This window comes from Homo sapiens, chromosome 1 (genome assembly GCF_000001405.40).
Source record: "Homo sapiens chromosome 1, GRCh38.p14 Primary Assembly".
Lineage (NCBI taxonomy): Eukaryota > Metazoa > Chordata > Mammalia > Primates > Hominidae > Homo > Homo sapiens.
The window spans coordinates 53,060,623-53,086,443 of NC_000001.11; the positions used below are offsets into that span (position 1 = coordinate 53,060,623).

Here is a 25,821-nt window from a genome sequence, read left to right on the forward strand (position 1 = left end):
ATTAGGCACTCAATATGTGCTGGCTCTCATTGTCCTAAAAGATTTTTAGTCCATGAGTATTCAAGCTAGTAGAATCCTGTCCTTTTAGCTCTACTTGAATCTAGGCTCAATGTTCAGGAGAAGACACGAGATGCATCTCTGTTGGTCCAGGTCCAATGCTGTGAATCACACCAACTCTTGTGAGTTTGAGCTCCAAAAGGACTGGAATTTGAGGCCAAAGAAGGCAAAATATTTTCCCTCCCCATTCTTGCTAAGTTCTTGGGTTGTTGGTGTAATGGAAACAGACAGTCCTGGGTTCAAATCTAGACTCTACATTTGCCTGCTCAAGTTACCTGCCTGTTTCCATCATGGGAAGAACTTGGGCTGTGGAGAAGGGTAAACCTGGGGTCAAAACCCCAGCTCTGCCAGTGAATGGGCATTTTACTCAGTCAAGTATCCTTTCTGAGGCCATCTCTTTTCTATAAAGTGGGGCAGCAGCAGTTCTTCCTTTGCGGAGTTGTGAAGCAGAGCATAATGCATATGGTATAACCTCACGGGGGCGGCAGCCAGTGAAAAGTCTGGAGCTGCTTTACAGGGGCCATTCATTCATTCATTCATTCAGGTTAAGGTTGAGCAAGGGGTCCCACGTGTGACTTATGCATCCTTCTCCCTCTTCAGTGGGAGGACAGCCAGGTGAGGCAGCTGTGGATGCCCTGCCCACAGGCCAGAGCAGGTAAGGGGAGGAGGCTTGCTACACAGTGGAGGTGCCAAGTACCACCTAAGCCCAGCCGCATTGCCTGTTCCACCGCCGAAGCCCCTGGCGCCAAACAGTGTTGCTTCAGCTGGTAGTAGTTAATACTCCTTTACTTGGAAACATTTTCAGTTCCTGGGAGCAATATGGTGGTGTGAGGTCTCACTGTTCACCCGCCCTGTTTCTCTGTGACTGGGATCTGCATGTCCCCGACTCCGGCCCAATTTACCATTCTTCAAGGCTCACCAGGCTGTGGGCCCAGGGCCAACAGGGATGGGAGTGGAGGGTGGGGTGGAGCGTGGGGAACTTTTCCGGGAAGAGGCCCAGCAGGGTCTTGGCTGGCGGCCCCATTAGCCACGGCCCAGGACCCCAGGGTGGGAGAGTGAACGGAAAGGTACTCGTGCCTGGAGCGGTTGCAACATCCTCTGTAATGAGGAAGATACAGCTCAGAGGCACTGGGTCGAAGGACCCCTCTCCCCAGCCCTCCTTTCAGGTGTCGGGGCCTAAAGGGGGTCCAGTTCCAGTGCGGAAGGCTGGGAACTAGGAAGCGTCGCGGACCAGACAGCCCGCCTTCCCGGTCTCCCGGGTGGGGGTTCGGGGGGCGTGGTGCGGCGGCCGGGGCTGAGAGGGGTCGGTGCGGCGGCTCTGCCTCCCCGGGAAGTGGGAACCGGCCAAGTCCCGAGCGGGGAGGGGCAGGCTTTCTCCTGCCCGCGCCTGGGGGGACCCTACGCCTGTGTCCGAAGGAGGCCGGCGTCCAGCAGATGCTCCCGGGGCGGGTGGGGAGTGGGGGAAGGGGGCGGGAGAGAGGCGGGGAGGAGAAAACCCACAACAAAACTTGCGTCGCGGAGAGCGCCCAGCTTGACTTGAATGGAAGGAGCCCGAGCCCGCGGAGCGCAGCTGAGACTGGGGGAGCGCGTTCGGCCTGTGGGGCGCCGCTCGGCGCCGGGGCGCAGCAGGTACAGGGCGCTGGCAGCCGGGGTGGGCCGAGGGGCCGGGGGCTGAGCCCGGGCAGCGCACTCAGACGTCCCCGCCTCTCCGGATGGCTCCAGCAGCTGCCTGGGGCGGGCCCGCCGCATCTCACCCCCTCTGTAGGACCCTGCACCCAGGGCACGGCCGGAGATCTCCTCCTCTGGAGTGCGACCCCTGCGCAGTCAGGACCCAGGCAGGGGCCTTCTCCTCTCTGAGCAGAGGCTGGTCCCCGTCCCCAGGCCCCTCCCGCTGCGCACATCTGGAAAGAATCTGAGGGCGGTTGGGGGCGGGGGCTGGAGTGGGAGGACGCCGGCGGGCGACAGGGAATGTGGGGGGCAGGTGGAACTGCGTAGGGGCGGGGACCCCTGTCATGAGAGCCTGGGCCCGAAGTATCCCCGCGTCTTTCCACGTCAACTCATCAGGCCCCCTAGCGACTCCAACCTCCACCTCTTTATAGATAGAGAAACTGAGGCCCAGAGAGGGGCAGAGGTCTGGCCCCAGGGCGCGTCGGACGCCGGGTGGGTCCCCTCCGGGGCTCGGCTTCCCCGGCCACTGTGCCGCCCCAGCTTAGTGCCAACCACTAGTTGAGCTAAAGGTCTCAGCTGGCGGTCTGGAGTCCGTCTATCTGTCTACGCGGCTGCTTCCCAGCCGGGACAGCTGGAGGGAGGAAGGGGTGGGGGTCCGCGAAGCGCGAGGAGCGAGATCCGCGCCTTCCTGCGAATGAGGCAGAAGCCCCAGGTTCCAGGTCCCCGAGCCACAGCCCGGCCTGGGGCGGGGGACGAGATCTTGGCGTTGGAATACCTGACGCTCCGTCAGGTGGAAGAGGAGGTGGTGGCGGGGCTGCGAGGCTCCTGGCAGCCTCGGGGGCTGGGGCTAGGAGAGGCAGCCGCAGCCTTTTGGAGAGGAGCAGGCGCGGCAGCAAGGGGCGAGCACCCCGGCCCCGGTGCGCGCGGCACTGACTGAGCTGGTCCGGGAGGCGCGGAGGATGCTCACCCAGCGCTTGGAGTGAATTACTGACCTGTCTGCCCTTCGATTACCGGCTGGCCAGGGAAGGGGAAGCTGTGGTCTGCCCTGCTCCACGAGGCGCCACTGGTGTGAACCGGGAGAGCCCCTGGGTGGTCCCGTCCCCTATCCCTCCTTTATATAGAAACCTTCCACACTGGGAAGGCAGCGGCGAGGCAGGAGGGCTCATGGTGAGCAAGGAGGCCGGCTGATCTGCAGGCGCACAGCATTCCGAGGTAGGTCACTCAGAAGAGCCCGTGGACTGCCCTGGGAAAGACCAGGGGGGACTGCTCTGGGGGTTCTGCTCCCTCATGTCCACTCTTAGGGCCCAAGACCCAGTCTACTCTAGCCTAGAGTGCAAGTTAAGAAATGTCAGAGTCACACGACTGTTTTCATGTCATCTGTGGGAGCACACTTTATCCCTTCTGTCTGAGTCTAGGATAGGGGATTACTAATGGTGGCACTTTTAGGCTTGGTGTAGTCATACATGCGAGTGCTGGCCGTGTCCTGCTTGGAACCCTTAATGAGTCCCTATCACCAACACTAGCATGGCGGTGGAGGCCCTTGGCCACCCAGGCCTCCCGCCCTGTTGACCCTTCCTTAAACACACGTCCCTCTCCTCTAGCCCCACCCCTACCTTTTGATCACACTCTACCTCTGCCTGGAGGGCTGTTTCTCCCACTCCGTCCACTTGGAGAACTCCCGCTCAGTCTTCAAGGCCAACTCAAGGCTCTGGGCAGGAGTCAGAAGACCCACATTTTACTCTTGGCCTTGGCTTTAACACACTAATTTGCAAACTGGGGGAGTCAGAGCAGATCATACTGCAGATCTTTAGATCTTTTCCAACTCTGCCTTTCACAAAGTCGTTCATTCAGCAAACATTTCCCCAGCACCCCCACTCCATGCTTGGGGAGACAGGGGAGGCCCAGCTGAGACTTGAAGGATAAAGCCAGCCAAGGTTGCTGTGGAAGCACCCAGAAACACCCTAACCCAGCCAAGGGGGCAGGAGAGGCTTCCCTGAGCAGGGGCATTTCAGCAGGAGCTTTCTAGGGATGGGCAGCAATGCCAGCCCTTTGTGCTTGAGCTCCAAATCTGCAGAATAGAAAGACGAACATGTAGTCCCAGGATTTCTATTAGAGTCAATAAGATGCAGCTGTTTGGGGCCCAGCACAGAGCAGGTGGTCAGTTGATTTGTACTGACTTTGAGTGGAGAAGGAAGGTAGTGCTGAGGGCTGAGGATCCGCCTCTTGATTTGGGGCTCCCTTTCCCTTCCTTCTTCTAGTCCTACCTTAACCTCACACTTTGGGCCTTGAGGTTTGGTTCCCTGGTAGTGGTCAGGGGAGACAGTGGGTCCCACTTACTTTCTCAGTAACAGTAACCCCTGGTATGTCACACCTATTTGATGCCAGCGGTGACAGGCTGAGACTGCTATTTCATTTAATTCTCACAAGTAGCTCCCAACTCCATTTCTTAGACTAGTTAACAGAGGCTCGGAGCAGTAAAGTGGCTCATCCAGGCTTACACAGCAGTCAGAATTGGAACCCATGCCCTTCTGTCTCTAAAGCTCTCCATATGAGAAACACTCACTGCTGGCTGAGCTTCCCCGCTGTCCAGGGGTTTGAGATGTTCCTCACCAGGTGGACTTGAAACTCCTGGAGACCAGGGAGCTCCCCTGTTCTTCCCCACACACCTCCCACATGGCTGGGTACACAGAAGGGGCCTTGGGGGGCTTATCTTGCTCCATTCTTAGAAGAGCAAGGCTGGGTACAGTGGCTCATGCCTGTAATCCCAGCACTTTGGGAGGCCGAGGCAGAAGGCCAGAAGTTCAAGAACAGCCTGGGCAACATAGTGAGACCCCATTTCTAAAAATAAAAAATTAGCCAGATGCCAGGTGTGGAGGCACATGCCTGTAGTTTCAGCTACTCGGGAGGCTGAGGTGGGAGGATCACCTGAGCCCAGGAGCCCAAGGCTGCAGTGAGCCATGATTGTGCTACTGCAGTCCAGCCTGGGTAACAGAGGGAGACCCTGTCTCAAAAAAAAAAAAGAAAGTTGGAAAATTTAGACTCAGATGGGTCAGTGGTATGGCCAAGGTCACACGGCAAACCAGGTAGTAGGGCTGGACCTTCCCAGTGCCTCACAGCCCTGAGAGTGGCTGGCGAAGCTGGAGGGACCACTCTCCAAGCCCTGTCTGTCCTTCTTACCTCTTCCTCCATTCCTGCAGTCCAGCACCTCTCTCTCTGCCAGGGGCAGGCCCCTTAGCCCTCACCTGTCCCAATTGCGCACCCTCGTGTCCACCCACAAACCTGCCTGTGTCACGCTCCTGCCTTTCAGTGGTCCTCGTCTTCCAGTGATAAGGACCACACTCCCTAACCTGCCCTTCATGTCTCTCCTTTGTGGCCTGGGCTTGTGGCGACTGTGCCTTTTTGTATCACTCCTAGTCCCTATCCCCCACCTGACAGTCTTGTGAGTGTGAACTGTCTTGCCTCTGGGCCTTTGCACACATTGACCCCCTTGCTTGTATGACCCTTTCCCTTTTGCCTGGTAGTCATCCCTTAGAATGGGATTATAATACTCAGCTTATACATAATGCTGCAGACCAGCACTGTCCAATAGAAATGTAACGTGAGCCACAAATGCAAGCCACATATGCAATGCAAAATTTTCTAGAGGTCTTTTTTTTTTTTTTTTTTTTGAGACGGTCTCACTCTGTTACCCAGGCTAGAGTGTAGGGGTGCGATCACGGCTCACAGCAGCCTCAACCTCCTGGGCTCAGGTGATCCTCCCACTTCAGCCTCCTGAGTAGCTGAGACTACAGGTGCATGCTATCTCACCTGGCTAATTTTTTGTATTTTTTAGAGAGACGAAGTTTCGCCATCTTGCCCAGGCTGGTCTCAAACTCCTGGGCTCAAGTGATCTACCTGTCTCAGCCTCCCACACTGGGATTTACAGGCATGAGCCACCTTGTCTAGTCAGAAGCCACATTTTAAAAAGTAAAATGAAACTGGTAACATTTATTTAACCTGTTCAAAATATTATCATGTAATCAATATAACAATAAATGGGATTTGATGTCATTAATATTAATATTAATAAGGTATCCTACATTATTTTTTTGTACGACATCTTTGAGATCTATGGACACTACATTTTACACTTACATCTCCATGTGGACCAGCCACATTTCAAGTGCCCAGTAGCCACATGTGGCCAGTGGCTAATGGAGTGAACGGTGCAGCTGTGGGCCTCTGAAGGGCAGAAGCCACGCTGAGTCTTCTGTCTGGGTCCCCTGCTTCCTGTCATGCTTGGCCTAGGGGAGAGCAGCGTAGCATTGTTGATATGACGTGGGCTGGGAGCTCAGCTTTGCCACTTAACAGCTGTTCACTGGCTGACCCCATTGGGCTCAGCTCCCTGAGTTGTAAAGTGGTGATGATAACATTTTCAGTACGGTGCAGAATGTTAATATAAATTCAATATTTTTATTGATGCAGTTTACAGATTTTTACAGATACCAAATGGAAGGCGAGGAGGCAGAACAGCCTGCCTGGTATGTGCACAGGATATGTGAGACCAGAGCTCCTTCCCCTGGATTCTTCTCCTTGGCCTTCTGCCCTGATTGAATTTGGGACCTGGGCCTGTGCCCACACTCTCGCTCTTAGAACCCCGGACTACAGTGGGGTCAGATGGGCAAGTGGCTAATGGCTGTTGAGCTGGCCGTGGAGTTTATGATGTGCTATGGGAATGATGGTCTGTAGACTGATGTTGGGTCAGGGGCAGGGGCAGCAGGGGTGTGGTGGAGTGAGCGTAGGGCTGGGCTGCTGTGGGAGCCAGTTGCTGCTGCCGACTGATCCCTGGAGCCTGGAAGCTGCAGGTGTGCCGGGCTCCCTGTTTCTCTGCCGGGCCAGTGGCTGAGACCTGAGTCTCCATCAACCATGTGGATCTGTAGGGTCAAGCAAGCCTGGCTGCCACCCCTCCTGTCTCCTCTAGGGCCTCCTACTCCTTGGGACCCCTTTTACGCTGCCCCCTCACCCCCAGTCTGGGTGGGCAGTGGTTATTGGTACCGGGGTCTGTTGTCCCCTCCAGATGGAGGACAGGGATCTTTTCCACCTCACCTGTGTCCCCAGTGCCCAGTACAGGCCCAGGCACAAATAGGCCCTTACTTCAGAGAACTGGGTGAACCACCAAGTGAGACAAAGTGGTATCTGAACTCCCACAGCCACCACAGGGCAGCAGGAACTCAGAGGCGGCTACGATGTCTGCAACATCTTCTGGGAGGAGGTGGGCCTGGGATTGGGTCAGAAAGCCCAAACGAAGGTCCAGGCCAAGTGACTCATGCCTGTAATCTCAGCACTTTGGGAGGCAAAGATGTGAGGATCACTTGAGGTCAGGAGTTTGAGACCACCCGGGCAACATAGAGAGACCCCATCTTTACACAAAATTTAAAAATTTGGCTGGCACGGTTGTGACCCCCTATAGTCCCAGTTGCTTGAGAGGCTGAGGCTGGAGGATCACTTCAGCCCCGGAGCTCAAGGTTACAGTGAGCTATGATTGCACCACTGCACTCCAGCCTGGGTGACAGAGTGAGGCCTTGTCTTAAAAAAAAAAAAAAAAAAAAGCCCAGCAAGATCTACAAGATCTAGACAAGGGAAGGAAAAGGAGCAGCAGCAGAGGATTCTGGAGTGAGCAGTGGTGTGGCAGGGGTGCAGACCATGCCCATGGAACAGACAATTAGTGGCAGGAAAAGCTAACGTTTACTGAGCACTTACTATGTGCAGTACATGCATTTCACTGACCCCTCTCAGTCTTCCCATAAGGACAGTGCTGTTATCATCCCCAAGGATGGGGGAGAAAGCTGAGGTTTAGATGATTGTAGTCACATAAGAGCCAGAGCTGAGGCCAGAGCCAAGGTTGCAGCTCAGGCCGCTAGCTCCAGTCATTAACATCATTGTCAAGCTCCCCAGTTTACAAAACCCTCCTAGGACCAGGGTCTTGCCAGACCCTTCTAGCTGCTTTATGGTCATGGTTTCTGATCTGGTGATGGGGAGAGAGGCTCAGCCTGAGCCAGTGCTTGTGGCCACTCAGCTCAGGAGTGAATGTCCCCCGTGCTGGAGGCATCCACAGCAGGTCCTTGCCGCTGTCCCTGCTGCTCACTTAGTGCAGCATGTTGCTGTGTGTCATTGCTGCAGTGGTGACAGCAGCTCATCACCTAATTGCATCACCTTATCACCTCATCACCTAAAAGCCAGGTGCTTTGCATCTTATCTTACTCCACAGAAGCTGTGTGTTTAGATGTATTATCTGCATTGTACAGACAACGAAACTGAGGCTCAGCAAGGTCAGAGGTGGGACTCAAACTGGGATTTGTGGGACCTGAGAGTCAGTGAACCTGAGCTACCAGCATGTCTTATCAGAGCCCAGAGATGTCTGAGTCCCTGTAAACAGAAACCAGGAACCCACCAAGAGCCAAGCCTACGCCACGGGACTGCTGGGACAATGGCATCTTTCAGCATCTTCCTCTATGGGCCTGAGATCATCCCCTGTACCCCATCCTTGCTGGACCCGGGGCCATGCCAGGGAGTGGTCTCTGGCAGGTGGCAGTGGTCACTGAGCACATCAGGCCCTGGTGAGGGCAGCTGAGGGGATACACATCAGGAATGGGAGGCCATGAGGGCAGCAGCAGCTGTAGTCGCTGATCCTTTCTCTGTGCTGGGCTCTGGGCTTGACCTATACCCAGACACAGAGAGTTGCTCACAGCTCTCTGTGGGAAGAAGATACCTTTGCTATTCAAAACCCAACCCAACTAATGCTAAGCTCTGGGTGAACACAGTCATGGGGAGCCCTGGGGCATCTCAGTGTCCCGCTGCTCCCCCTCTTCCCATGTTCATAGCACTGGAATTGGTTCCCAGAAAAGAAAATGCTGATTGCACAAGACAGAGGAAGGGCACTCTAGGCAGAAGGAACAGCATGTGCAAAGGCCTGGAGGGAGGAGCTATTCAATAGTCCTGTAGAACTGGGGGCAGTTGAGGGGACAGTTGGAAGAGAGTCAGGACCAAGTCAGGAAGGCCTGAGAATGGCGAGCTGGAGAGCCGGGACGCACCCTGCCAGTGCTGGCTCACCATGGCCTGTGGCTGCTGGAGGAGGCAGGGGGTCTTCCCACACCGCCAGTGCCAGGATAGCAAGGGTTCAGCACAGTCCAGGTCGTGTCTCAGCTTCCCCTTCTAGGAAATAGGGGTACAGACTCCTTAGGGCCAAGCCTGCTGAATGAAGGCTGCAGAAGGTTTTGCAGACCTGCCAGAGGACAGGGCTTTACCTCGTCCCCCGCCTCTGGAGGGCAGCCTGGTGGGGGTTGGGCAGGTGCGGAGGGCAGCAGTCAGTCATCGGCTGGGCTCTGAGGACAGTCCAGAGTGGGCCCTGCTTTGTGCTCGGGAGGGCCCCGTCATGACTTTCGAGGGCCCCAGCTGTGTCCACTGTACCTCACAGGTTCCGTCAGCCCTGGCGCCCAGGCGCATCTGACTCGGCACCCCCTGCAGGCACCATGGCCCAGAGCCGGGTGCTGCTGCTCCTGCTGCTGCTGCCGCCACAGCTGCACCTGGGACCTGTGCTTGCCGTGAGGGCCCCAGGATTTGGCCGAAGTGGCGGCCACAGCCTGAGCCCCGAAGAGAACGAATTTGCGGAGGAGGAGCCGGTGCTGGTACTGAGCCCTGAGGAGCCCGGGCCTGGCCCAGCCGCGGTCAGCTGCCCCCGAGACTGTGCCTGTTCCCAGGAGGGCGTCGTGGACTGTGGCGGTATTGACCTGCGTGAGTTCCCGGGGGACCTGCCTGAGCACACCAACCACCTATCTCTGCAGGTGAGGTCGGCGTTGCACCTGTGGTCACGGGGGCTGTCCCACACACCCTTGGTTCCCATCCCAGAACCCTGACACTCCAAGCAAACTGTTCACCCAGAACCTCCAATATGTGCGGCTCTCCACTCCCAACCACAGGGTGCTGGGGCAGGTCAGATTTCTGGGGCCCTGGCCGCACCAGGTGACACTCTCCTGATGTCCCAGTCACGGAGCACTGTGATAGTACAATAAAACCCACTTTGCTCACTTAGAGTCCAGGCTGGGCCCAGTAAGTCGAGCCAGGCTCTGTCTGAAAATGGACACAGACCTGCCCAGCAGCTGACCCTCTGAATGCACAGCCACCATTACACGGTCAGGAAAACCAGAGCAAAGTAGACCTGACAGAATACTCTGGAGCCTTGGAGGATGGAGTGCTGTCTCCAGCCAAGGGGCAGGCTAGAATTTGGAACCTTGAGAGGTGGGACACAGTGTCCAGACTAGGAGCACCCTGGAGTGCAGATGCACCCATCCTCGCCTTGTGCGGCCCAACAGCCCTAGGGAGACGGAGGGGCTGCGGCACCCGTTCCCAGAGGCGATCAGGCCTGGTGCGGGAGAGTGACTTGCCTACTGGCATCCACACTGGTGGGTCTGAGCTGGCGGCTGTGGGAGCCCAAGGCCAGGGCAGCCACTGAGAGAAAGGGCCACATTGAGGGCAGCTCTTACTGTTGGTTCCTTTGCTCTTTCATCCACACATCAACTCTCTCAGGCGCCTGCACTGGGCCTCTGGTCCTGTGTAGGGGCTGGGCATGGAGGCAGGGCCCGGCGTTCCCTGCCCTGTGCTTACAGTCAGTGGCGAGGCAGAGACTTCTTAAACAGAGGCACCAGATGGAAATGGAAGGACTGTGTGTGGGGCCCAGAGTAACCTCCTAATTCAGCTCCAGCCCAACCCAGGAAGGCTTCTGGAGGAGGTGGTACCTGCCCCAGCTTTCCATTCATTCTAAGTGGAGAGGGGACTGCAGGGCCAAGGAGGGGAAGGAAAAGTGGTTTCTGACTTGGGGAGCAGCTGTGGTTGCCTGTCACGAGGTGGGAACGCTCCAGGAGCACGCCTGGAGGAGATAGCATGTCGAGTTTGAACTGCCCGTAGATGTCCATGTGTGGGCTCCCTGAAGGCAGGACCCACACTCCTGTTGTGATCACTGCTGTGCCCCAGAGCCCATATGCAGACCTGGCCCAGAGCTGGCACCGGGGGTCTGCTGCCATGGGGGAGAATTCCAAGGGAGGTGCCCAGCAGGTGGACTGGATTCTAGGACTGGAGCTATGGGTAGGGAATGGAGTCCAGGGCACACCCCACTAGGCTGATGCTGCTTCCTTGCGGCCCCCTACCCCCCTAGAACAACCAGCTGGAAAAGATCTACCCTGAGGAGCTCTCCCGGCTGCACCGGCTGGAGACGCTGAACCTGCAAAACAACCGCCTGACTTCCCGAGGTGAGGGGCCACCCAGAGCCCAGGGTCAGGGACACCAAGTGGGGCCTTGGGGGCCTGAACGATGCTGGGTGCCCAGGGGGAGAGCTTGGCCCTGCGGATCTTGGGGTGTGGATGGAAGAGAGCAGGCCCGGGCCAGGCTAGCAGTGGGGCTGCATGAGAACCAGCTCCACACGGGCAAGGGGGCTCCCTATTGTTGCCTGAACACTACACGGATATTTCTTTCTTTTTTTTTTTGACATAGTCACTTACTTTAATAACAATACATATACCATGTTATCACCATGGAATGTAAATTCAGGTTAGACAAGAGAATTTCACAAGTGTAATAACATTCTGTAGTATATAAGTTTGTGTATACTGTCTGGCCAAACCAGCATATGCTCATAAGTCATTCATCAATTCCATTACAGGTCATTTGTTTAGTTGAATGTTTATAAGCAAAATAAAATAAAATAAATAAAAAATAAAATAATATAAAATAAAATAAAAATAAAATAAAATAAATAAAAAATAAAAATAAGCAATGCACACAGTTTTAAAGCATTCACTTACCTTTGCATGAGTTAAAATACAGGATTCTATTTCAAGATGACATTTAAAAATGATTCTAACAGCAGCAAAAATATAATTCTGCAATTACGAAAGAACTAAACTAGAATCCATAAGTTATTTTCATGTTTACACTTGTGATTCTTTAATAAATACTATTACTATGCAACTCTGTCTTAAGCTTTCTAAATTTGGTTTAAACACACACGTAGATAGTATCAGTTGTGGGAGGCTGTACAAGTTATATTCCATGCACTTTTGGACAGAGTTCTAAAAGAGCCAACCAGTCCACAAGACAGGCAGAAAAAAGTTAAATTAACTGGGGCAAATAGGACCCTTATATAACATCCAACATGTGAGATTCTGCAGCAACTGGGAGTACGTCAGGGTTGGCCTGGACAACCCCGGTGCCCTCCCATCCTTGTGTCTCCAACCCTTTCTACTCCTTGGACTTGAGACTCAAAGGTCTGCCTGCCTCCTTGACATTTTCCCTAGACGTCCCTGTCTTCTTTATAACTAATTTCATCTGAACAGTTTAAGAAGGTGGACATTTCAACACCATCAAGCGCATTCAGGTGACATGTTTCAAGATGTCTAACTAGGCCGGGCGCGGTGGTTCACGCCTGTAATCCCAGCACTTTGGGAGGCCAAGGCAGGTGGATCACCTGAGGTCAGGAGTTCGAGACCAGCCTGGCCCACATGGCAAAACCCCGTCTCTACTAAAAATACAAAAAATTATCCCGGTGTTCTGACAGGCACCTGTAATCCGAGCTACTCAGGAGGCTGAGGCAGAAGAATCACATGAACCCGGGAGGCGGAGGTTGCAGTGAGCTGAGATCACACCATTGCACTCCAGTCTGGGCAATAAGAGTGAAAAAAGCTGTCTAACTAAAGCAAGCTCCTCCAACAAGACCAAGACAGCATCTCTCCTTCTAAGGCTTAGGATTTGCCCAGAATTCCTGATACCTGGACTAGCCCATACCAACAGTCATGGCTCCTATAACAAAGCCTTGAACTGCCACATGCATGTGGATCAGATGAAGGGACATTGTCGTGTTTCCCATGCTCTTCAATTTGTGTAATCCCTATGCAACAATGGCTGCAAAGCCTGCCATTCCAATGGGACAAATGGTGCCTCTTTAGCTTTCTGAAGAAGTTTGGATCCCTGATCTTCATCATGTGAAAAATGGGAAACCTCTGTGTCTATTGACATAGTGATTGGTTGAAGAATCTCCCTAGAGTGAGAAAACCTCTTACACGCCAACCAGCTTCTGATCCCTCCCGTGCACCCCAGGCGGGTGTTTCTAAGACCTGGGGGATGCGCAGGAGAGAGGCTTCAGAGAAGCTGAGCTTCCAGAACCTTGTCACAGGATCTTCGGTTCCGAGGGCCTTTAGAACCCAAGAGTTGTAGAGTCCTCACATTTTAAAAAGATTTTTTTTTCCTGATGACGAAAATAACATCTGACTGGGATAGAAACTTTGTAACATAAAATGGAAAGAGAAAATTTCTCATAATTTTGCCACTCGGAATTAACTACTATTGACATTTTGGTAAATTTGTTTCCATTTTTAAAAAAGCAGCTTTCTTGAAGTATCATTTATGTACCGTAGGATTTACCCAATTTGAAGGTATAATTGGCTGAGTTTTAGTCAGCGGTGCAGCCAGCACCACAGTCCAGTGGTCTTTTTTCCTTTGTGTTTTAAACTCGTGGCTGAACACATGCTATGATATCACAGCCTGCTTTGTTTCTCTTAGCCGTCGGCTCAGCCGCCTCTCTCGTGTTGCTAAAGCCTCTCATTGACCATCATCTTACATAGTGGCAGCAGGGTGTTCCATGGAGAGACATGCCAGTTTATATAACTGTTCCCTCTTGTTAGATATGTGGGTGAGGTCCAGCATCTGGGGGTCTTGGAGCCCAGAAACGAGAGTCAGAGGCCAGCCTGGCAGGGCTCCCGGTAGCAGCCGAGTCCTGACACATCTGCCAGATGGAGCAGGGGTGAGCCAGGTGGTGAGGAGGCCCAGAGCCGCAGCCCCACCCTGTGTGGAGCCATTCCTGGCCCGGCCCCCCTGCCTGTGGATGGGGCTGTGACCTTCTGGGGCTCTCCTGGAGGGGAGGACTTCTTTCTGGCAGGACAGGGTCAGGCTGGATGCTCTGCTGCTGGCCTGACCTCTCAGGGGTCATCCCCACTCAGAGCGAGGAGTTAGTCTCTCAGTAGACAATAACTGCCTGCTCCTCTGAGCCTGGGCTTATGTGAGCAAGGAGAAAGAACAGGGCTGGGCAGGCCCCCCAACTGCTTGGGAGGGGATCTGAGCTGCCTCTGCCTCCCTAGTCCTGGCAGGCGGGTGGGGGAGGAGGGTGGGCGCTTGCTGTGCTTCCCTGTGGCGTCTCCTCCATCCAGGGCTCTGACCGATGCCTGTCCTTTGAAGGGCTCCCAGAGAAGGCGTTTGAGCATCTGACCAACCTCAATTACCTGTACTTGGCCAATAACAAGGTGAGGGGCTTGAGGCAGGGTGGGGGGTTGCTGCCCTGTCCTCTAGGCATTGTCTTCCCTGAGTTCCATGAACTTTCACCAGGGCCTTTCTGGACTCCCTGCTGGGTCCTTGTTGCTGCTCAGACATGGCCCTGGGTCGGGGGTGGGGGAGACACGGACCCCATGCCTATAACTCAGGGCATCAGAGTGTGTCAGGTCATGAAGACAGAAGCCAAGGCCCACAGGAGTGTAGAGGGGGAAGAGCTTGTCCCCACTGGGGAAGGCATACCTGGAGGGCTTCCTGGAGGAGATGGTATTTGAGCAGGGGCATGGAGGGTAATAGGATTCTAGGCAGGGGCCCCAGGGTGGGGGGCACTGCAGTAGAAGGAATGTCATGAGTGAAGGCACAAGGGTACTCATGTTCAAAATATTTGGTGTGCTCCAGAGCTCTGTCCCAGCCCCTTCTCTCTCTGAACTCTCTGGAGGTGACCTGTGCCCTCCCAGACTCTGTCTCCCATCTGCATCATGGCCATGTCCAGTGGTTGTCTCCAACTCTTTCTGCTCCTTGGACTTGAGACTCAAAGGTCTGCCTGCCTCCTTGACATTTCCCCTAGACATCCAGTGGAAGGAAGCTACAGCTTCCCGCCCACAGCACCCAGACCCAGTCCTCCTCTGTCATCCCAGCTCTGCAAGGGGGCATCTCCAGCCACCTACAGCCCCACTGGTCCAAGCCACAAATGGTGCCTCTGGGCCCTGAGCTTCCTCACCATGTCCAGTCCCATTGAGGTCCTCAGCTCTTACCGCACTGGCCCCCATCCCTCACCTGGACGCTTGCCTCCTCACTTGCCCCCCATTCTTGGAGAAGCCAGAGCAACCTTGAAGTCACACCCATCGCTTCTTGGTCTTTTGGCTAAGATCAGGTGTAAAAGCCACACCCACCTCTGCCCCTTATCCACGCGGGATGAACCCAGGAGGACGGGCAGGGCAGGGGACAAGTCCTGAGGGCCTTGAATGCCAAGCTGAGTGCTGAGGACAGCCAGAGAGGTTTTGTTTTTGTTTTTGCAGAGGGGGTGGGACAAGTTTCAATTTGAGAAAGATGGCCTGGTTGCAGGGAGACACAGTGAAGGGGCCCCGGTGGGCAGCAGGCAGTGGGACCCACAGCTGGCCTCTGCTCCTCCATTGCTCTTTCGGCCCCAACTCTTCCCTTCCCAGCTGACCTTGGCACCCCGCTTCCTGCCAAACGCCCTGATCAGTGTGGACTTTGCTGCCAACTATCTCACCAAGATCTATGGGCTCACCTTTGGCCAGAAGCCAAACTTGAGGTCAGAGGTCGGGGGTGGTCAGGGCTCGGGCTGGGGCAAGGGGAGGGGCTGAGGTGGAGGCTGCCATCCTGTGTGAGGCAGAGACAGGTCCCGAAGGAGGCCCTGCACTCAGGGCTGTGGTGGAGGGACACCCAGGGGCCCTAACAGAGGAGGACAACTCGGGCCAGGAGGTGAGGACAGAGAGTGTTGTCTACAGGAATTGTGGTGAACCAGTGAGGATGTCCCCACTTTCCCAGCCCCTGGGGAAGGGGAGCATCTTTCAACAGGCAGAACTGCCCTTCGCTGAGCTGCATTGGGAGGAGCAACCGCCCCCCAGCATAGGTGTGCGAGAGAGCAGTGTGGTGCAGGCGGGGTGGGGGGCTGCCGGGGAGCCGCCTCCAGGACAGTTTGGGGGCTGGACAACCCCAGTGCCCTTCCATCCCTGCGTCTGCCATCTCAGTGACTCTCTCCATCTGTCTGAGGACCCAGGACCACTGTACACGGCCCCATCCCACAGACAGAGGCTCAAGACGGGCCACACAGCAAAACTGAGCTGTGTCTGTCACAGATGACCCTTGTTCCTTGTCTTCCCTCCTTCTAGTATGTTGGGTCCACGAGGGCAGGGTCTGTCTCATTGGTCATGTCCACTGTTATGCCCTCAGTCTAGAACAGCTCTGGCATCTCATATATATATTTATTTATACACCTTTTATATATATATGCATATATCTCTATTTAATATATTATATTACATAATATATTAACTATATATTTGCTGAATGGATGAGGGCCACCTCCTCTGAGACAGGCCCTGTGCTGGCACTAGGGCCAAAGAGGCAGGCAGAGATAGGCCCTGTGTTTAGGAAGTCCTAGGAACTCAGAGCCAGGCTGCGTGGGGTTGACAGGCAGGGATGAAGGGGCCGCGAGTCAGGCAAGGACTCCAGGGCTGAAAGGGTCAGGGGTCAACTGAGACCTTGAAAGGCGTGGAGGGGCCTCTGCCAGGGGTCAGGAAATCCTATTTCTCCCGCTAGCTTATGGGACCACCTGTGGTGGGGCACGGCCCCTTCTGGTCCTTGGTTCTGTCAGCTGTGTAGGCAACATCTGAGGTGCTTCTAACTCTGTACCCTTGAGTTTGGATGGAAGGAGAGCAGCCTGGGCAAGGGTTTAGAGGCTCACCAGTTGAGCTGGCGCAGGGCCTGGGGAGCCCAGGTGGGTGAGGACCTGTGCCTTGACCCCCAGGTCTGTGTACCTGCACAACAACAAGCTGGCAGACGCCGGGCTGCCGGACAACATGTTCAACGGCTCCAGCAACGTCGAGGTCCTCATCCTGTCCAGCAACTTCCTGCGCCACGTGCCCAAGCACCTGCCGCCTGCCCTGTACAAGCTGCACCTCAAGGTGGGCAGGGGAGGGGTAAGGAGGGGCACAGCAGACCCCACAGCCAGGGCACTGGGGCAGGGGCCTGCAGGGGAAGAGCTCAGGCCCACATGGCCACAGGTGCTGCCCAAGTGGGGCCCCGGGGCTGACAGCAAGGAGTCTACTGTGGAGAAGTGGGCAGAAACCCGGGCACCTGGCCAGTGGGTTGTGTGTGGCGTTGGTGGCCCCACACCTGGGTTGCTTCAGGTCTGGGTGCCTTCCTGGTGGCTTCCCAGACTCCTCTCCACACCTCATCCCGAGGCCCTGACCTTGCCCTCGGCCCTCCCTCACAATCTCCTCCCTTCCCTTCCATCCCCCAGAACAACAAGCTGGAGAAGATCCCCCCGGGGGCCTTCAGCGAGCTGAGCAGCCTGCGCGAGCTATACCTGCAGAACAACTACCTGACTGACGAGGGCCTGGACAACGAGACCTTCTGGTGAGTCCTTGTCTCACCAGGTCCTTGGCGTGACCACGGGGCCCGGGAAGCTCCTTCAGGGCCAACCATCCAGCCCAGCCCAGCCCCTCACGCACGTCCCCTGCCCACCTTCCCTGGAGAAGGAACTTTAAGCCTTGTGCCTCTGTTGACATTTCTGTCCCTGGGAACAAGGACTATGTAGAAGTAAGGCCTTCCAAGATTCCAGTGAGGCAAAGAAGCGTTGGTGGAGGCTGGCTTCTTGGTGCGAAATACAGACTCGGGCATTCTTGCTGAAGGCAAATGCATTTTCATTTTTCTAAGGGACCAGGGTAGCCATAAAAGGCTATCAAAAGGTTAAATAGTGGTCTTCAAGTAAACTCCTGTGTGTCAGAAAATGCCGGATCCTTCCTACACCAGAATATCATTGAGTCAACCCAAGGAGCAAGGACTGAGGGCCCACAGTCAGTGAGCAGCAGAGCTGGGAGGAGCTAGTGGCAATTCCCCAGCCACATCTCTTGGGAATCATGGTGGAAACGAGCACAATGTGGGCTCTTGCCAACCGTCCTAATTCCCTCCCTGCCCCAGGAAGCTCTCCAGCCTGGAGTACCTGGATCTGTCCAGCAACAACCTGTCTCGGGTCCCAGCTGGGCTGCCGCGCAGCCTGGTGCTGCTGCACTTGGAGAAGAACGCCATCCGGAGCGTGGACGCGAATGTGCTGACCCCCATCCGCAGCCTGGAGTACCTGCTGCTGCACAGCAACCAGCTGCGGGAGCAGGGCATCCACCCACTGGCCTTCCAGGGCCTCAAGCGGTTGCACACGGTGCACCTGTACAACAACGCGCTGGAGCGCGTGCCCAGTGGCCTGCCTCGCCGCGTGCGCACCCTCATGATCCTGCACAACCAGATCACAGGCATTGGCCGCGAAGACTTTGCCACCACCTACTTCCTGGAGGAGCTCAACCTCAGCTACAACCGCATCACCAGCCCGCAGGTGCACCGCGACGCCTTCCGCAAGCTGCGCCTGCTGCGCTCGCTGGACCTGTCGGGCAACCGGCTGCACACGCTGCCACCTGGGCTGCCTCGAAATGTCCATGTGCTGAAGGTCAAGCGCAATGAGCTGGCTGCCTTGGCACGAGGGGCGCTGGTGGGCATGGCTCAGCTGCGTGAGCTGTACCTCACCAGCAACCGACTGCGCAGCCGAGCCCTGGGCCCCCGTGCCTGGGTGGACCTCGCCCATCTGCAGGTAAGCGGAAGGGAGGGGGCTGAGCCATGCCCATGGAGGGGGGTACTGGCATGGCTGCCCTGAGCCCACCTGTCTGAAGGGTGAGGAGAAGGGCTGGGTGGTGAGGGAGGTTCCTCTGGTATGGCCAGGCTGAGCTCATTCACCTTCAGGTATCTGCTGGAGATGCTGGCTAAGGCGAAGCTAGGCCTTAGGGGAGGCAGGAGGTGGGTCAGGCAGAGGGTGTGGCTGGCATGCCAGGGTGAGCCCAGCCCACCTGCAGGTACAAGAGTGAGGGGCAGAGTACAGGTGGTATGACCGAGCTGAGCTCATCACCTGCAGATACAGGTTTGAGAAGGGCTGTGGAGGTAAGGAAGGTCATGGCTGCAGGTAGGGGCCCTAGGCTCAGGAGGACCGGGGGCCAGTTCGGGTGGTATGTATGGGAGAGTCAAGCTCACCCCTTTGCAGGCACAGGAGTAGGTATGTGGAGAAGGCTGGGCTTTGGGATGGGAGGCAGAGGGGACAGCCTGAGCTGTGGGCCCACCTCACCAGTCTGCAGAGGGCTGGAGGTGGGGATCTACTCATGCTTTCTGAGGCTGGCCAGTCGATGTGGCTGCTGTGACCACATGGTCAGAATTAGGCAGGGATGCCTGGGCACATAGTTCACTTTGGTAACAAAACCCCCAACTCAACCAGTGTGGGTGAAAGAGAAATCCACTCTATACGCTGGCTCATGCCTGAATCTCAGCAGTTAGAGAGGCTGAGGCAGGAGGATCACTTGAGCCCAGGAGTTTGAGGCTTGCCCGGGCAACATAATGAGACCTCATCTCTACAAAAAAATAAACTTAAAAAAATTTAGCCCCGTGCAGTGGCATGCATCTCACCCTGGGGGGCTGAGGTGGGAGGATCACTTGAGCCTAAGGAAGATAGAGCTGGCAGTGAGCTATGATCACGCTACAGCACTCAATCCTGGACGACAGAGTGAGACGCTGTCTCAAATTAAAAAAAAAAAAAAAAAAAAGGAAACTCATCAGAGAACCTGGGAGGGAGGGTGGGGTGCTGCCAGTTTAGGCACTGCCCAGTGGCTTCAGCGGCTCCCTGTGGGAACCCACTTTCCTGACTGCCCTCCCCTGGATGCCAGGCATGTGATGATCTGAGACAGAATGGCCTGGGGCCTGGCTGTTGTGCTGGGGTCACTGTGGGTCTCACACCGTTGCTCCTGACCTCTGCACGTGTGGCCCCTGAGGTCCATAAGTGAGCAGTCCCACTCAAGCAGCTCCCACTGCACCCATCCAGGGCCAGTGGGGTGAGATTCAGAGTCTGGGGGATCCCTGGGCTCTGCCCATTTGAGATCTTTGGGAATGACCAAGTCTAATGGGAATGACAAGTGTGTCAGGAGATAGGACTGTGACACCCAAACATCTTGGCTGTGGGTTTATGTGGGAAGGCACAAGAAGCTGGGTAGGACGTTCATCAATTAGAATAAGGGTTTGGAGTCAGGCACACCCGGCTACAGCCTTTTATAGGTTATGTGACCTTGGAAAGATCACTTAACCTCTCTGAGCCTCTATTTCCCAATCTGGGAAGTGGGGATAATTATAGACACCCCCCCTCCTCCACACAGGGTTATTGTTAGATTTAGATAGGCTGGGGGCTTGGTGGGAGTTTTGTAAGCTGTTAAGTGCTTTGCACAGGTGGGAGTCCCTGACTCCCTTGGTCACCCCTGCAGCTGCTGGACATCGCCGGGAATCAGCTCACAGAGATCCCCGAGGGGCTCCCCGAGTCACTTGAGTACCTGTACCTGCAGAACAACAAGATTAGTGCGGTGCCCGCCAATGCCTTCGACTCCACGCCCAACCTCAAGGGGATCTTTCTCAGGTAGGAGCCCACTCGCGGCCCTGTACACACCCCCGTGGGGCCCACCCTGGCTCCAACGGGACAGTTGATGCACGTGGGAACAGCTTGGCTCCACTGCTGCCTGTGTAACCACGGCTCAGATCTCAAGGGTGGGGACAGTCCTGGCCAGGCCCGATATGGTTCCTAGGTTTGTAAAAGGGCTTTGGAAACGTTAGAAGCCAGTGCGCATGGGCGTTGTGAATGTTACTGTGGCAGAAAGGATGCTGGACAGCATCTTCCTGGTTTGCAGCTGAGAGAGCTGAGGCCCTGAGAGCACAGGTGACTGCTGTGTCTGCAGCCATCCAGGCTGGGTCCGGGCCTCACACTCAGGAATAGATGTTCAGGCCCTCCCTGGCTTCTGGGGCTAAGAGATGGGGATTTGGAGTGATTCGGGGGATGCAGCTCCCTGAGGATATGAGGGGCTTCCATGCAGCAGAGCCAGGGTGGTTCTTCCCAGCACTTCCCACAATCCCTGCCCCCAAATCAGAGAGAAGGAGACAAGGCAGAGATGAGTGTGCTCCCAGGAGCTCGGTTGCCCAGAAAGCCCTGGGCTCGATGATATCAGGGTGGCTTGACATGTGCCTCAGGCATCTGCAGGGTAGCTGAAGCACAGAGAGTGAGGGGCCTGAGATCAGAGCCACAGCCTCCACCTTTCCACCCCTGAGTGTGGCCCTGGCCTGGCTCAGCGCTGGCCTTGCCTTTGTGCCACTCCACATCAGGCACTGCGGTGACCCCTGGCTACCGCAGCCCAGGAGCCTCAGGCCTTGGGGTTAATGCCAGGGATGGCATAGAGACAGCTCCCAAAGTTGTGGCTTCCAAAATAGCAGTGAGAGTGTGCGCAGAGAGAGACCCCTCACTTTGCAGAGACTGGCCCAGAGCCAGCCCCACCACAAGCTGCAGCTGCCCTGACCGGCCTGTACCTTCCATCATGTACTGCGCTCTCAGCCCCTGGCCTTTCCCGCCTGCTGCACCACTTTCCGGGAGGGCCATTCCCTCCCCTGTTACCTTCTGGAGAGGCCAGTCGGGGGAAGGGAGGGTTCCTTGGGGGTTGGGCTCCTGGCATTGACTGCCTCGATGCTCACACAGGTTTAACAAGCTGGCTGTGGGCTCCGTGGTGGACAGTGCCTTCCGGAGGCTGAAGCACCTGCAGGTCTTGGACATTGAAGGCAACTTAGAGTTTGGTGACATTTCCAAGGACCGTGGCCGCTTGGGGAAGGAAAAGGAGGAGGAGGAAGAGGAGGAGGAGGAGGAAGAGGAAACAAGATAGTGACAAGGTGATGCAGATGTGACCTAGGTATGTGGCCTGTATGGGGCAGCACTCACTTCTGCTCCCTGCATTTTCCCCTTCCTGACCCTGGTAGAGGGTCTTTCTGTCCATTCTTCACCCTCTCGCCTCTGCTTCATCCACCCATTTAGCAAATTTATAAGAGCACTTGGGATGTACCAGGCCGTGGGTGAAAGGTTGAAGCCTACGGGAGGCCCACACCTTCCAGAAGATTCTCACCCAGCATGAGGGTGCTGTCACGGGAGTGACCGGGGGGCACTGGACATGTGGGTCGGGGCTCAGGAGTGAGGTCTGGTCTGGAGAGAGGGATCCAGGCATTGTTAGCCTTGAAACAATCACTCAAGCTGCAGGGGGCTGGGGAAGCTTGCCATGGGAGAGTGAGTGAGGGGGGCAGGTGACTGAGACAGAGCAGTTAGGAAAGGAGGTAGGAAAACCCCAGACTGCCGTGGGCAGAGGGCATTTGCACATGTATGTAACACAGGCACCTACATGTGCACATGCACACAAATGCACACGGATGCACCAACACACATACATTCATGTGCACACACGTCTCAACATGTACACACATCCACAAACCATGCACAGGCAGAACACACACACCACACACATGCACACAGACACACATACATGCTTGTACCCCATGACACATTTGCATGCCTAGACTATGTACATACGTGCACACACGTGTGTACATGCATGTGAGTACATGCACACAAAACACCCATGCGTACCCACGTATACGGGCCCTTACATGCACACCTGCATGCACACATGTACACATGATGCGTGCATGCACAGGCCTGTCTAGAAGTGGGGACTTGGCTGTGTCAGTGCTGCTGAGGGGCTGAGGGAACTGAGCACTGAGGGAGCTGACCACTGCGGAGCGCCCACTGGATTTTTCCACCTGGAGGCTGTCTGTGACTTTGTAGCAGCAGGGGAAGCTGGGATGAGAAGAGCAGCTGGAAAGGAAGTGGGTCCAGGCACTGCAGACCAGCCTTTTGAGAAGTTTGGCTGTGAGAGATGAGAGAGGGCAGAGGTGGGAATGGAGTGTGAAGTTCAGGAAACGCTCATTTTCTGAGCCTCACAGGAAGCAAAGGCCTCTCGAGGGGAGCCCTGTGTGAGGGGCTCTGGCAAGATGCCCCGACACACACATGCATCTTCCACACGCACCCTCTTAAAGGAGGGGGCTGGCTTGGGTGCTGGTGGGAAGAGGCTGGCCTGGAGGGGGAGTCACCGATGTAGGAAAGAGCTGGCTTTGAGGGCCCCTGTGGGAATGGTAGAAGTTGCTGGCTTTAGCAGGAGGAACAAAGGGCAGGGTGGCTGCTGTCACAGGCAGATTGGTGGCTTGGTGGCCAGATGTGAAGCCATGTCAGCCGGATCCCTCCAGTCTTCCGTTTTCTCTGTGCAGCAGGGAGGTTCTCCGCAGACCAAAGGTATGGAGAAAATGGACAGGTGGATCCACCCACAGCTGAGTTTTTCAGCCAAGAGTTCAGGACAGGAGGGCAAGGAACAAGGGAGTGTGTTGGCCGGAGGCTGGCTGCAGGCATGGGTCCTGGGGTCAGGTTGGGTAGGGAAGGAGGTGCAGATAGGAGGGCTGGTGGGCAGGGACTCAGAGAAAGACATTGGAGAGGAGCCAGGAGCGGCTGTGTGGTCGGAGGAGAGAGGAGAGCTGGTGAGGAGTGAGCCAGGCTGGGGGTCACAGGGCCAGGACGTAGCCGTGGGAGGGGCTGCCGGGCCACTGTTGAGTGTTGACTGAAGTAGGGCCTGGGACGAAGAGGAACCAGAGGGGGCTGTTGAGGGCCACTTGGGTGGGTGACAGAGGGAGCTGGGAGAAGGGCGCAAGTTGATGGTGAGAGAAGAGTGTGCACAGAGTTGGGTATCCGCAAGTGTGGAGGGGCTGGCAAGAGGCTGAGCTTGGGGGTCACCTTCCCCAGCTCCCAGGGCCCGGGAGTATGAAGGTAGAGCTGGTTCTCTGAGGTGTTGTCCTCACACAGAGTTGGGGTGGGTGACAGGGTGACTGGCCATCCAGTGGGGACACCACAGCCCTCATGAGGGGCTGTGGAGTCCTGGGGTGGGTGAGAATCTGCCCCATCTCAGGTCAGTTGAGTGGGGCTCTGGGAGAAGCCCTGGGGAGTGGCTGGTGGGACCCAAAGGCCTTCTGGCACCCCGCTGGCTCTGGGCTCCCAGGGCCAACGCTCCCTCCCTACTCATAGTAGCCTGGCCTTTCCAGAGCCCCCTCCAGCAGGGCTCCCCACAGCAGGTCCCCTCAGGCTGCTTGGGCTGGTGGGTCTGCCCTGAGCTGGCCCCTGACTCTCTTACATGTTCCACAGGACGATGGACCGCCGGACTCTTTTCTGCAGCACACGCCTGTGTGCTGTGAGCCCCCCACTCTGCCGTGCTCACACAGACACACCCAGCTGCACACATGAGGCATCCCACATGACACGGGCTGACACAGTCTCATATCCCCACCCCTTCCCACGGCGTGTCCCACGGCCAGACACATGCACACACATCACACCCTCAAACACCCAGCTCAGCCACACACAACTACCCTCCAAACCACCACAGTCTCTGTCACACCCCCACTACCGCTGCCACGCCCTCTGAATCATGCAGGGAAGGGTCTGCCCCTGCCCTGGCACACACAGGCACCCATTCCCTCCCCCTGCTGACATGTGTATGCGTATGCATACACACCACACACACACACATGCACAAGTCATGTGCGAACAGCCCTCCAAAGCCTATGCCACAGACAGCTCTTGCCCCAGCCAGAATCAGCCATAGCAGCTCGCCGTCTGCCCTGTCCATCTGTCCGTCCGTTCCCTGGAGAAGACACAAGGGTATCCATGCTCTGTGGCCAGGTGCCTGCCACCCTCTGGAACTCACAAAAGCTGGCTTTTATTCCTTTCCCATCCTATGGGGACAGGAGCCTTCAGGACTGCTGGCCTGGCCTGGCCCACCCTGCTCCTCCAGGTGCTGGGCAGTCACTCTGCTAAGAGTCCCTCCCTGCCACGCCCTGGCAGGACACAGGCACTTTTCCAATGGGCAAGCCCAGTGGAGGCAGGATGGGAGAGCCCCCTGGGTGCTGCTGGGGCCTTGGGGCAGGAGTGAAGCAGAGGTGATGGGGCTGGGCTGAGCCAGGGAGGAAGGACCCAGCTGCACCTAGGAGACACCTTTGTTCTTCAGGCCTGTGGGGGAAGTTCCGGGTGCCTTTATTTTTTATTCTTTTCTAAGGAAAAAAATGATAAAAATCTCAAAGCTGATTTTTCTTGTTATAGAAAAACTAATATAAAAGCATTATCCCTATCCCTGCAGCCTGTGGCTATGTCTGTGCTTGCTTCCTGCCAGGTGCTGGCCTGGTGCCGGGTGGAGGGGGCAGGATACAAGCCCCTCAGCGCCCTGGCCAGAACAGCAGACATCAGTGGAAAGTCCAGTTCTCGGGGCCCGCAGAGTAGCTGCACAGGCAGGCATCCTGGGAGAACAGGGCATAGCCTCAGGCGAGGGGGCCTGAGGTGTGTGCAGATGGCCCACTCGGGAATAGTAGGTGAGGCCTGAACCAGCACACGCGGCCTGTGAGCTTGCTGTGCATTCCCAGAGGTGGAGCATCCAAGCAAAGGACCTCATGGGCTTTGGGCCTGTTAAGGGCTCACCTGGAGGGTCATGGGTCACCTTTGCACTGACAGGGTGTTACTAGTGGGTTCTAGAGGAGAGCAGGGGACTGGAGGCAGGCCTGGGAGCTGGAGCAGAGCCGACTTGGGGGCCCAGGTCTCCGCAGACCTTTCCAGGAAAGAGCTAACAGATGCACCCAGTGTGCTTCCCACCCCAGTGGGAGAGCTGCCACCGGGAGGTGGTACCCAGCTCTGAGCTAAGAAGAGCCTCTGATGGGCAGAGCTGCCCCACTGTGGGTTGAGATGCTCGGGAAGTGGTGACCTCCCTGCTGCTGGAGGTGTGTAAGGATGCTCCTGCCAAGTCCACTAAAGAGCAGACTCCTGCCTTGTGCTGGGACAGACTCGATTGCTCAAGGGGTCTTAGAGATGTGACACCTAGAAGGGGCTGCTAAGCTTGTCTGCATGAAGGTGGGATGACCGATTGCATGACATCTGACCTCTCCCAGGTGAGGAGGCCTCAGGGAAGGAAGGATGCTCTCGTGGAGGCCTGCAGCCCCCAGCCCTGCAGTGGGAGGAGGTGTCCTGGGGTCGTGCTCTTCCCAGACTCCTCACACTCCACCCCTGGGAGGAGGGTGGAAGGAGTTCAG

The 25,821-nt window shown here is 56.2% G+C and overlaps 1 protein-coding gene and 1 pseudogene across 6 annotated transcripts, besides 3 other annotated features; one reads left to right on the forward strand and one right to left on the reverse strand.

The window, feature by feature from the left end:
* Positions 1,569 to 1,756: a silencer, noted in NCBI's record as "fragment chr1:53527863-53528050 (GRCh37/hg19 assembly coordinates)". NCBI's record gives its function as "represses an EF-1alpha promoter that drives an FKBP-Casp9 reporter gene in an ReSE screen in K562 erythroleukemia cells {active_cell/tissue: K562}" and the evidence as "EXISTENCE:reporter gene assay evidence [ECO:0000049][PMID:32094911]".
* On the forward strand, positions 1,591 to 24,872 carry PODN (podocan). Of its 6 annotated transcripts, NM_001199080.4 has the most exons (13): positions 1,591 to 1,686; positions 2,748 to 2,937; positions 6,190 to 6,245; positions 9,179 to 9,545; positions 10,913 to 11,006; positions 13,984 to 14,048; positions 15,240 to 15,349; positions 16,568 to 16,724; positions 17,063 to 17,178; positions 17,743 to 18,400; positions 20,106 to 20,254; positions 21,359 to 21,566; positions 23,891 to 24,871. In NM_001199080.4, the coding sequence occupies exons 4-12, from the start codon at positions 9,234 to 9,236 to the stop codon at positions 21,537 to 21,539; spliced, it is 1,842 nt and encodes a 613-aa protein (NP_001186009.2). In that variant the 5' UTR covers positions 1,591 to 1,686; positions 2,748 to 2,937; positions 6,190 to 6,245; positions 9,179 to 9,233; the 3' UTR covers positions 21,540 to 21,566; positions 23,891 to 24,871. The 6 variants fall into 6 exon arrangements, 5 of the variants coding, with proteins under 5 accessions (NP_001186009.2, XP_005270514.1, NP_001186010.2 ...); XM_005270457.4 differs by lacking the exon at positions 6,190 to 6,245 and having other exon boundaries at positions 23,891 to 24,872; NM_001199081.3 differs by lacking the exon at positions 2,748 to 2,937 and having other exon boundaries at positions 23,891 to 24,872.
* Positions 12,430 to 12,835, reverse strand: HIGD1AP11 (HIG1 hypoxia inducible domain family member 1A pseudogene 11; annotated as a pseudogene).
* Positions 20,536 to 21,087: an enhancer, noted in NCBI's record as "H3K4me1 hESC enhancer chr1:53546830-53547381 (GRCh37/hg19 assembly coordinates)". NCBI's record gives its function as "activates a minimal SCP1, AML or CMV promoter by ChIP-STARR-seq in naive H9 embryonic stem cells {active_cell/tissue: H9 hESC(naive)}" and the evidence as "EXISTENCE:reporter gene assay evidence [ECO:0000049][PMID:30033119]".
* Positions 21,088 to 21,638: an enhancer, noted in NCBI's record as "H3K4me1 hESC enhancer chr1:53547382-53547932 (GRCh37/hg19 assembly coordinates)". NCBI's record gives its function as "activates a minimal SCP1, AML or CMV promoter by ChIP-STARR-seq in naive H9 embryonic stem cells {active_cell/tissue: H9 hESC(naive)}" and the evidence as "EXISTENCE:reporter gene assay evidence [ECO:0000049][PMID:30033119]".